Raw genomic sequence first — 12,336 nt, forward strand, 5'->3', positions numbered from 1 at the left:
CAAGTGGAGATTTGGAGCGCTTTGAGGCCTATGGTAGTAAAGGGAATAGCTTCATAGAAAAACTAGACAGATGCGTTCTCAGGAACTTTTTGGTGATGTTTGTATTCAACTCCCAGAGTTGAACTTTCCTTTGGAAAGAGCAGCTATGAAACACTGTTTTTCTAGAATCTGCAAGTGGACGTTTGGAGGGCTTTGTGGTTTGTGGTGGAAAAGGAAATATCTTCACCTAAATACTAGATAGAAGCATTCTCAGAAGCTTCTCTGTGATGACTGCATTCAACTCACGGAGTTGAACACTCCTTTTGAGAGCGCAGTTTTGAAACTCTCTTTCTGTGGCATCTGCAAGGGGACATGTAGACCTCTCTGAAGATTTCGTTGGAAACGGAATCATCTTCACATAAAAACTATACAGAAACAGTCTCAGAATCTTCTTTGTGATGTTTGCATTCAAATCCCAGAGTTGAACTTTCCTTTCAAAGTTCACGTTTGAAACACTCTTTTTGCAGGATCTACAAGTGGATATTTGGACCACTCTGTGTCCTTCGTTCAAAACGGGTATATCTTCACATGACATCTAGACAGAAGCTTTCTCAGAAAATTCTTTGGGATGATTGAGTTGAACTCACAGAGCTGAACATTCCTTGCGATGTAGCAGTTTAGAAACACACTTTCTGCAGAATCTGCAAGTGCATATTTGGACCTCTCTGAGGAATTCGTTGGAAACGGGATAATTTCAGCTGACTAAACCGAAGCATTCTCAGAACCTTCTTCGTGATGTCTGCATTCAACTCACAGTGTGGAATCTTTCTTTGGTAGTTCAGGTTTGAAACACTCTTTTTGTAGAAACTGCAAGGGGATAATTGCACTTCTTTGAGGCCTACCGTAGTAAAGGAAATAACTTCGTATAAAAAGAAGACAGAAGCATTCTCAGAACCCTCTTCGTGATGTTTGCATTCAACTCACAGTGTTGAACCTTTCTTTGATAGTTCAGGTTTGAAACGGTTTTTCTGTAGAAACTGCAAGTAGATATTTGGACCTCTCTGAGGATTTCGTTGGAAACGGGATAAACCGCACAGAACTAAACAGAAGCATTCTCAGAACCCTCTTCGTGATGTTTGCATTCAACTCACAGTACTGAACCTTTCTTTGATAGTTCAGGTTTGAAACACTCTTTTTGTAGAAACTGCAAGTGGATATTTGGGCCTCTCTGAGGATTTCGTTGGAAACGGGATAAACCGCACAGAACTAAACAGAAGCATTCTCAGAACCTTCTTCGTGATGTTTGCATTCAACTCACAGTGCTGAACCTTTCTTTGATAGTTCAGCTTTGAAACACTCTTTTTGTAGAAACTGCAAGTGGATATTTGGACCTCTCTGAGGATTTCATTGGAAACGGGATAAACAGCACAGAACTAAAACAGAAGCATTCACAGAAAACTCTTGGTGACGACTGAGTTTAACTCACAGAGCTGAACATCCCTTTGGATGGAGCAGTTTCGAAACACACTATTTGTAGAATGTGCAAGTGGATATTTGGGCCTCTCTGAGGATTTCGTTGGAAACGGGATAAACCGCACAGAACTAAACAGAAGCATTCTCAGAAACTACTTTGTGATGATTGCATTCAAGTCACAGAGTTGAACATTCCCTTTGACAGAGCAGTTTGGAAACTCTCTTTGTGTAGAATCTGCAAGTGGAGATATGGACCGCTTTGAGGACTATGGTAGTAAAGGAAATAGCTTCATATAAAAGCTAGACAGTAGCATTCTCAGAAACTTCTTTGTGATGCTTGCATTCAACTCACAGAGTTGAACTTTCCTTTCGAGAGAGAAGCTTTGAAACACTCTTTTTCCAGAATCTGCAAGTGGAAATTTGGAGGGCTTTGAGGCCTGTGGTGGAAAAGGAATTATCTTCCCGTAAAAGCTAGATAGAAGCATTGTCAGAAACTTCTTTGTGATGATTGCATTCAACTCACAGAGTTGAAGGTTCCTTTTCAAACAGCAGTTTCCAACCACTCTTTCTGTGGAATCCGCAAGTGGATATTTGGACCTCTTTGAAGATTTCGTTGGAAACGGGAGAATCTTCACAGAAAAGCTAAACAGAAGCATTCTCAGAAACTTCTCTGTGATGTTTGTGTTCAACTCCCAGAGTTTCACATTGCTTTTCATAGAGTAGTTCTGAAACATGCTTTTCGTAGTGTCTGCAAGTGGACATTTGGAGCGCTTTCAGGCCTGTGGTGGAAAACGAATTATGGTCACATAAAAACTGGAGAGAAGCCTTCTCAGAAACTTCTCTGTGATGATTGCATTCAACTCACAGAGTTGAACCCTCCTATGGATAGAGCAGTGTTGAAACTCTCTTTTTGTGGAATCTGCAAGTGGATATGTGGACCTCTCCGAAGATGTCTTTGGAAACGGGAATATCTTCACATAAAAACTAAACAGAAGCATTCTCAGAAACTTCTTGGTGATGTTTGCATTCAAATCCCAGAGTTGAACCTTCCTTTGGTAGTTCAGGTTTGAAACACTCTTTTTGTAGGATCTGCAAGTGGCTATTTGGACCACTCTGTGGCCTTCGTTCGAAACGGGTATATCTTCGCATAAAATCTAGACAGAAGCATTCTCAGAAAATACTTTGTGATGATTGAGTTTAAATCACAGAGCTGACCATTCCTTTGGATGGAGCAGGTTTGAGACACACTTTTTGTAGAATCTACAAGTGGATATTTGGACCTCTCTGAGGATTTCGTTGGAAACGGGATAACTGCACCTAACTAAACGGAAGCATTCTCAGAAACTGCTTTGTGATGATTGCATTCACCTCACAGAGTTGAACATTCCTATTGATAGAGCAGTTTGGAAACACTCTTGTTGTGGAATGTGCAAGTGGAGATTTGGAGCGCTTTGAGGCCTATGGTAGTAAAGGGAATAGCTTCATAGAAAAACTAGACAGATGCATTCTCAGGAACTTTTTGGTGATGTTTGTATTCAACTCCCAGAGTTGAACTTTCCTTTGGAAAGAGCAGCTATGAAACACTCTTTTTCTAGAATCTGCAAGTGGACGTTTGGAGGGCTTTGTGGTTTGTGGTGGAAAAGGAAATATCTTCACCTAAATACTAGACAGAAGCATTCTCAGAAGCTTCTCTGTGATGACTGCATTCAACTCACGGAGTTGAACACTCCTTTTGAGAGCGCAGTTTTGAAACTCTCTTTCTGTGGCATCTGCAAGGGGACATGTAGACCTCTTTGAAGATTTCGTTGGAAACGGAATCATCTTCACATAAAAACTATACAGAAGCAGTCTCAGAATCTTCTTTGTGATGTTTGCATTCAAATCCCAGAGTTGAACTTTCCTTTCAAAGTTCACGTTTGAAACACTCTTTTTGCAGGATCTACAAGTGGATATTTGGACCACTCTGTGTCCTTCGTTCGAAACGGGTATATCTTCACACGACATCTAGACAGAAGCTTTCTCAGAAAATTCTTTGGGATGATTGAGTGGAACTCACAGAGCTGAACATTCCTTGCGATGTAGCAGTTTAGAAACACACTTTCTGCAGAATCTGCAAGTGCATATTTGGACCTCTCTGAGGAATTCGTTGGAAACGGGATAATTTCAGCTGACTAAACAGAAGCATTCTCAGAACCTTCTTCGTGATGTCTGCATTCAACTCACAGTGTGGAACCTTTCTTTGATAGTTCAGGTTTGAAACACTCTTTTTGTAGAAACTGCAAGGGGATAATTGCACTTCTTTGAGGCCTACCGTAGTAAAGGAAATAACTTCCTATAGAAAGAAGACAGAAGCATTCTCAGAACCCTCTTCGTGATGTTTGCATTCAACTCACAGTGCTGAACCTTTCTTTGATAGTTCAGCTTTGAAACACTCTTCTTGTAGAAACTGCAAGTGGATATTTGGTCCTCTCTGAGGATTTCGTTGGAAACGGGATAAACCGCACAGAACTAAACAGAAGAATTCTCAGAGCCCTCTTCGTGATGTTTGCATTCAACTCACAGTGCTGAACCTTTCTTTGATAGTGCAGCTTTGAAACACTCTTTTTGTAGAAACTGCAAGTGGATATTTGGTCCTCTCTGAGGATTTCGTTGGAAACGGGATAAACCGCACAGAACTAAAACAGAAGCATTCACAGAAAACTCTTGGTGACGACTGAGTTTAACTCACAGAGCTGAACATTCCTTTGGATGGAGCAGTTTCGAAACACACTATTTGTAGAATCTGCAAGTGGATATTTGGGCCTCTCTGAGGATTTCGTTGGAAACGGGATAAAACGCACAAAACTAAAACAGAAGCATTCTCAGAAACTACTTTGTGATGATTGCATTCAAGTCACAGAGTTGAACATTCCCTTTGACAGAGCAGTTTGGAAACTCTCTTTGTGTAGAATCTGCAAGTGGAGATATGGACCGCTTTGAGGCCTATGGTAGTAAAGGAAATAGCTTCATATAAAAGCTAGACAGTAGCATTCTCAGAAACTTCTTTGTGATGCTTGCATTCAACTCACAGAGTTGAACTTTCCTTTCGAGAGAGAAGCTTTGAAACACTCTTTTTCCAGAATCTGCAAGTGGACATTTGGAGGGCTTTGAGGCCTGTGGTGGAAAAGGAATTATCTTCCCGTAAAAGCTAGATAGAAGCATTGTCAGAAACTTCTTTGTGATGATTGCATTCAACTCACAGAGTTGAAGGTTCCTTTTCAAAGAGCAGTTTCCAATCACTCTTTGTGTGGAATCTGCAAGTGGATATTTGGACCTATTTTGAAGATTTCGTTGGAAACGGGAGAATCTTCACAGGAAAGCTAAACAGAAGCATTCTCAGAAACTTCTCTGTGATGTTTGTGTTCAACTCCCAGAGTTTCACATTGCTTTTCATAGAGTAGTTCTGAAACATGCTTTTCGTAGTGTCTACAAGTGGACATTTGGAGCGCTTTCAGGCCTGTGGTGGAAAACGAATTATGGTCACATAAAAACTGGAGAGAAGCCTTCTCAGAAACTTCTCTGTGATGATTGCATTCAACTCACAGAGTTGAACCCTCCTATGGATAGAGCAGTGTTGAAACTCTCTTTTTGTGGAATCTGCAAGTGGATATGTGGACCTCTCCGAAGATGTCTTTGGAAACGGGAATATCTTCACATAAAAACTAAACAGAAGCATTCTCAGAAACTTCTTGGTGATGTTTACATTCAAATCCCAGAGTTGAACCTTCCTTTGATAGTTCAGGTTTGAAACACTCTTTTTGTAGGATCTGCAAGTGGATATTTGGACCACTCTGTGGCCTTCGTTCGAAACGGGTATATCTTCGCATAAAATCTAGACAGAAGCATTCTCAGAAAATACTTTGTGATGATTGAGTTTAACTCACAGAGCTGAACATTCCTTTGGATGGAGCAGGTTTGAGACACACTTTTTGTAGAATCTACAAGTGGATATTTGGACCTCTCTGAGGATTTCGTTGGAAACGGGATAACTGCACCTAACTAAACGGAAGCATTCTCAGAAACTGCTTTGTGATGATTGCATTCACCTCACAGAGTTGAACATTCCTATTGATAGAGCAGTTTGGAAACACTCTTGTTGTGGAATGTGCAAGTGGAGATTTGGAGCGCTTTGAGGCCTATGGTAGTAAAGGGAATAGCTTCATAGAAAAACTAGACAGATGCATTCTCAGGAACTTTTTGGTGATGTTTCTATTCAACTCCCAGAGTTGAACTTTCCTTTGGAAAGAGCAGCTATGAAACACTCTTTTTCTAGAATCTGCAAGTGGACGTTTGGAGGGCTTTGTGGTTTGTGGTGGAAAAGGAAATATCTTCACCTAAATACTAGAGAGAAGCATCCTCAGAAGCTTCTCTGTGATGACTGCATTCAACTCACGGAGTTGAACACTCCTTTTGAGAGCGCAGTTTTGAAACTCTCTTTCTGTGGCATCTGCAAGGGGACATGTAGACCTCTTTGAAGATTTCGTTGGAAACGGAATCATCTTCACATAAAAACTACACAGGAAGCAGTCTCAGAATCTTCTTTGTGATGTTTGCATTCAAATCCCCGAGTTGAACTTTCCTTTCAAAGTTCACGTTTGAAACACTCTTTTTGCAGGATCTACAAGTGGATATTTGGACCACTCTGTGTCCTTCGTTCGAAACGGGTATATCTTCACATGACATCTAGACAGAAGCTTTCTCAGAAAATTCTTTGGGATGATTGAGTTGAACTCACAGAGCTGAGCATTCCTTGCGATGTAGCAGTTTAGAAACACACTTTCTGCAGAATCTGCAAGTGCATATTTGGACCTCTGTGAGGAATTCGTTGGAAACGGGATAATTTCAGCTGACTAAACAGAAGCATTCTCAGAACCTTCTTCGTGATGTCTGCATTCAACTCACAGTGTGGAACCTTTCTTTGATAGTTCAGGTTTGAAACACTCTTTTTGTAGAAACTGCAAGGGGATAATTGCACTCTTTGAGGAGTACCGTAGTAAAGGAAATAACTTCCTATAAAAAGAAGACAGAAGCATTCTCAGAACCCTCTTCGTGATGTTTGCATTCAACTCACAGTGCTGAACCTTTCTTTGATAGTTCAGCTTTGAAACACTCTTTTTGTAGAAACTGCAAGTGGATATTTGGTCCTCTCTGAGGATTTCGTTGGAAACGGGATAAACCGCACAGAACTAAACAGAAGCATTCTCAGAACCTTCTTCGTGATGTTTGCATTCAACTCAACAGTGTTGAACCTTTCTTTGATAGTTCAGGTTTGAAACGGTCTTTCTGTAGAAACTGCAAGTAGATATTTGGACCGCTCTGAGGATTTCGTTGGAAACGGGATAACCCGCACAGAACTAAAACAGAAGCATTCAGAAAAAACTCTTGGTGACGACTGAGTTTAACTCACAGAGCTGAACATTCCTTTGGATGGAGCAGTTTCGAAACACACTATTTGTAGAATGTGCAAGTGGATATTTGGGCCTCTCTGAGGATTTCGTTGGAAACGGGATAAACCGCACAGAACTAAACAGAAGCATTCTCAGAAACTACTTTGTGATGATTGCATTCAAGTCACAGAGTTGAACATTCCCTTTGACAGAGCAGTTTGGAAACTCTCTTTGTGTAGAATCTGCAAGTGGAGATATGGACCGCTTTGAGGCCTATGGTAGTAAAGGAAATAGCTTCATATAAAAGCTAGACAGTAGCATTCTCAGAAACTTCTTTGTGATGCTTGCATTCAACTCACAGAGTTGAACTTTCCTTTCGAGAGAGAAGCTTTGAAACACTCTTTTTCCAGAATCTGCAAGTGGACATTTGGAGGGCTTTGAGGCCTGTGGTGGAAAAGGAATTATCTTCCCGTAAAAGCTAGATAGAAGCATTGTCAGAAACTTCTTTGTGATGATTGCATTCAACTCACAGAGTTGAAGGTTCCTTTTCAAAGAGCAGTTTCCAATCACTCTTTGTGTGGAATCTGCAAGTGGATATTTGGACCTATTTTGAAGATTTCGTTGGAAACGGGAGAATCTTCACAGGAAAGCTAAACAGAAGCATTCTCAGAAACTTCTCTGTGATGTTTGTGTTCAACTCCCAGAGTTTCACATTGCTTTTCATAGAGTAGTTCTGAAACATGCTTTTCGTAGTGTCTACAAGTGGACATTTGGAGCGCTTTCAGGCCTGTGGTGGAAAACGAATTATGGTCACATAAAAACTGGAGAGAAGCCTTCTCAGAAACTTCTCTGTGATGATTGCATTCAACTCACAGAGTTGAACCCTCCTATGGATAGAGCAGTGTTGAAACTCTCTTTTTGTGGAATCTGCAAGTGGATATGTGGACCTCTCCGAAGATGTCTTTGGAAACGGGAATATCTTCACATAAAAACTTAACAGAAGCATTCTCAGAAACTTCTTGGTGATGTTTGCATTCAAATCCCAGCAGTTGAACCTTCCTTTGATAGTTCAGGTTTGAAACACTCTTTTTGTAGGATCTGCAAGTGGATATTTGGACCACTCTGTGGCCTTCGTTCGAAACGGGTACATCTTCGCATAAAATCTAGACAGAAGCATTCTCAGAAAATACTTTGTGATGATTGAGTTTAACTCACAGAGCTGAACATTCCTTTGGATGGAGCAGGTTTGAGACACACTTTTTGTAGAATCTACAAGTGGATATTTGGACCTCTCTGAGGATTTCGTTGGAAACGGGATAACTGCACCTAACTAAACGGAAGCATTCTCAGAAACTGCTTTGTGATGATTGCATTCACCTCACAGAGTTGAACATTCCTATTGATAGAGCAGTTTGGAAACACTCTTGTTGTGGAATGTGCAAGTGGAGATTTGGAGCGCTTTGAGGCCTATGGTAGTAAAGGGAATAGCTTCATAGAAAAACTAGACAGATGCATTCTCAGGAACTTTTTGGTGATGTTTGTATTCAACTCCCAGAGTTGAACTTTCCTTTGGAAAGAGCAGCTATGAAACACTGTTTTTCTAGAATCTGCAAGTGGACGTTTGGAGGGCTTTGTGGTTTGTGGTGGAAAAGGAAATATCTTCACCTAAATACTAGATAGAAGCATCCTCAGAAGCTTCTCTGTGATGACTGCATTCAACTCACGGAGTTGAACACTCCTTTTGAGAGCGCAGTTTTGAAACTCTCTTTCTGTGGCATCTGCAAGGGGACATGTAGACCTCTTTGAAGATTTCGTTGGAAACGGAATCATCTTCACATAAAAACTATACAGAAGCAGTCTCAGAATCTTCTTTGTGGTGTTTGCATTCAAATCCCAGAGTTGAACTTTCCTTTCAAAGTTCACGTTTGAAACACTCTTTTTGCAGGATCTACAAGTGGATATTTGGACCACTCTGTGTCCTTCGTTCGAAACGGGTATATCTTCACATGACATCTAGACAGAAGCTTTCTCAGAAAATTCTTTGGGATGATTGAGTGGAACTCACAGAGCTGAACATTCCTTGCGATGTAGCAGTTTAGAAACACACTTTCTGCAGAATCTGCAAGTGCATATTTGGACCTCTCTGAGGAATTCGTTGGAAACGGGATAATTTCAGCTGACTAAACAGAAGCATTCTCAGAACCTTCTTCGTGATGTCTGCATTCAACTCACAGTGTGGAACCTTTCTTTGATAGTTCAGGTTTGAAACACTCTTTTTGTAGAAACTGCAAGGGGATAATTGCACTTCTTTGAGGCCTACCGTAGTAAAGGAAATAACTTCCTATAGAAAGAAGACAGAAGCATTCTCAGAACCCTCTTCGTGATGTTTGCATTCAACTCACAGTGCTGAACCTTTCTTTGATAGTTCAGCTTTGAAACACTCTTCTTGTAGAAACTGCAAGTGGATATTTGGTCCTCTCTGAGGATTTCGTTGGAAACGGGATAAACCGCACAGAACTAAACAGAAGAATTCTCAGAGCCCTCTTCGTGATGTTTGCATTCAACTCACAGTGCTGAACCTTTCTTTGATAGTGCAGCTTTGAAACACTCTTTTTGTAGAAACTGCAAGTGGATGTTTGGTCCTCTCTGAGGATTTCGTTGGAAACGGGATAAACCGCACAGAACTAAAACAGAAGCATTGTCAGAAACTTCTTTGTGATGATTGCATTCAACTCACAGAGTTGAAGGTTCCTTTTCAAACAGCAGTTTCCAATCACTCTTTCTGTGGAATCTGCAAGTGGATATTTGGGCCTCTCTGAGGATTTCGTTGGAAACGGGATAAAACGCACAGAACTAAAACAGAAGCATTCTCAGAAACTTCTCTGTGATGTTTGTGTTCAACTCCCAGAGTTTCACGTTGCTTTTCATAGAGTAGTTCTGAAACATGCTTTTCGTAGTGTCTGCAAGTGGACATTTGGAGCGCTTTCAGGCCTGTGGTGGAAAACGAATTATGGTCACATAAAAACTGGAGAGAAGCCTTCTCAGAAACTTCTCTGTGATGATTGCATTCAACTCACAGAGTTGAACCCTCCTATGGATAGAGCAGTGTTGAAACTCTCTTTTTGTGGAATCTGCAAGTGGATATGTGGACCTCTCCGAAGATGTCTTTGGAAACGGGAATATCTTCACATAAAAACTAAACAGAAGCATTCTCAGAAACTTCTTGGTGATGTTTGCATTCAAATCCCAGAGTTGAACCTTCCTTTGATAGTTCAGGTTTGAAACACTCTTTCTGTAGGATCTGCAAGTGGCTATTTGGACCACTCTGTGGCCTTCGTTCGAAACGGGTATATCTTCGCATAAAATCTAGACAGAAGCATTCTCAGAAAATACTTTGTGATGATTGAGTTTAAATCACAGAGCTGACCATTCCTTTGGATGGAGCAGGTTTGAGACACACTTTTTGTAGAATCTACAAGTGGATATTTGGACCTCTCTGAGGATTTCGTTGGAAACGGGATAACTGCACCTAACTAAACGGAAGCATTCTCAGAAACTGCTTTGTGATGATTGCATTCACCTCACAGAGTTGAACATTCCTATTGATAGAGCAGTTTGGAAACACTCTTGTTGTGGAATGTGCAAGTGGAGATTTGGAGCGCTTTGAGGCCTATGGTAGTAAAGGGAATAGCTTCATAGAAAAACTAGACAGATGCATTCTCAGGAACTTTTTGGTGATGTTTGTATTCAACTCCCAGAGTTGAACTTTCCTTTGGAAAGAGCAGCTATGAAACACTCTTTTTCTAGAATCTGCAAGTGGACGTTTGGAGGGCTTTGTGGTTTGTGGTGGAAAAGGAAATATCTTCACCTAAATACTAGATAGAAGCATTCTCAGAAGCTTCTCTGTGATGACTGCATTCAACTCACGGAGTTGAACACTCCTTTTGAGAGCGCAGTTTTGAAACTCTCTTTCTGTGGCATCTGCAAGGGGACATGTAGACCTCTTTGAAGATTTCGTTGGAAACGGAATCATCTTCACATAAAAACTATACAGAAGCAGTCTCAGAATCTTCTTTGTGATGTTTGCATTCAAATCCCAGAGTTGAACTTTCCTTTCAAAGTTCACGTTTGAAACACTCTTTTTGCAGGATCTACAAGTGGATATTTGGACCACTCTGTGTCCTCCGTTCGAAACGGGTATATCTTCACATGACATCTAGACAGAAGCTTTCTCAGAAAATTCTTTGGGATGATTGAGTGGAACTCACAGAAGCTGAACATTCCTTGCGATGTAGCAGTTTAGAAACACACTTTCTGCAGAATCTGCAAGTGCATATGTGGACCTCTCTGAGGAATTCGTTGGAAACGGGATAATTTCAGCTGACTAAACAGAAGCATTCTCACAACCTTCTTCGTGATGTCTGCATTCAACTCACAGTGTGGAACCTTTCTTTGATAGTTCAGGTTTGAAACACTCTTTTTGTAGAAACTGCAAGGGGATCATTGCACTTCTTTGAGGCCTACCGTAGTAAAGGAGATAACTTCCTATAAAAAGAAGACAGAAGCATTCTCAGAACCCTCTTGGTGATGTTTGCATTCAACTCACGGTGCTGAACCTTTCTTTGATAGTTCAGCTTTGAAACACTCTTTTTGTAGAAACTGCAAGTGGATATTTGGTCCTCTCTGAGGATTTCGTTGGAAACGGGATAAACCGCACAGAACTAAACAGAAGCATTCTCAGAACTTTCTTCGTGATGTTTGCATTCAACTCACAGTGTTGAACCTTTCTTTGATAGTTCAGGTTTGAAACGGTCTTTCTGTAGAAACTGCAAGTAGATATTTGGACCTCTCTGAGGATTTCGTTGGAAACGGGATAAACCGCACAGAACTAAAACAGAAGCATTCACAGAAAACTCTTGGTGACGACTGAGTTTAACTCACAGAGCTGAACATTCCTTTGGATGGAGCAGTTTCGAAACACACTATTTCTAGAAGGTGCAAGTGGATATGTGGGCCTCTCTGAGGATTTCGTTGGAAACGGGATAAACCGCACAGAACTAAACAGAAGCATTCTCAGAAACTACTTTGTGATGATTGCATTCAAGTCACAGAGTTGAACATTCCCTTTGACAGAGCAGTTTGGAAACTCTCTTTGTGTAGAATCTGCAAGTGGAGATATGGACCGCTTTGAGGCCTATGGTAGTAAAGGAAATAGCTTCATATAAAAGCTAGACAGTAGCATTCTCAGAAACTTCTTTGTGATGCTTGCATTCAACTCACAGAGTTGAACTTTCCTTTCGAGAGAGAAGCTTTGAAACACTCTTTTTCCAGAATCTGCAAGTGGACATTTGGAGGGCTTTGAGGCCTGTGGTGGAAAAGGAATTATCTTCCCGTAAAAGCTAGATAGAAGCATTGTCAGAAACTTCTTTGTGATGATTGCATTCAACTCACAGAGTTG

General features: G+C 40.8%; 1 annotated feature.

The window, feature by feature from the left end:
* Positions 1-12,336: part of a centromere (Linear centromere model derived predominantly from reads generated in PMID: 17803354. This region does not represent an actual centromere sequence, as long-range ordering of repeats and unmapped WGS contigs is not provided by the model. For details of model production, see http://arxiv.org/abs/1307.0035.) that runs on past both edges of the window.

The sequence above is a fragment of the Homo sapiens genome, chromosome 17 (genome assembly GCF_000001405.40).
Source record: "Homo sapiens chromosome 17, GRCh38.p14 Primary Assembly".
Lineage (NCBI taxonomy): Eukaryota > Metazoa > Chordata > Mammalia > Primates > Hominidae > Homo > Homo sapiens.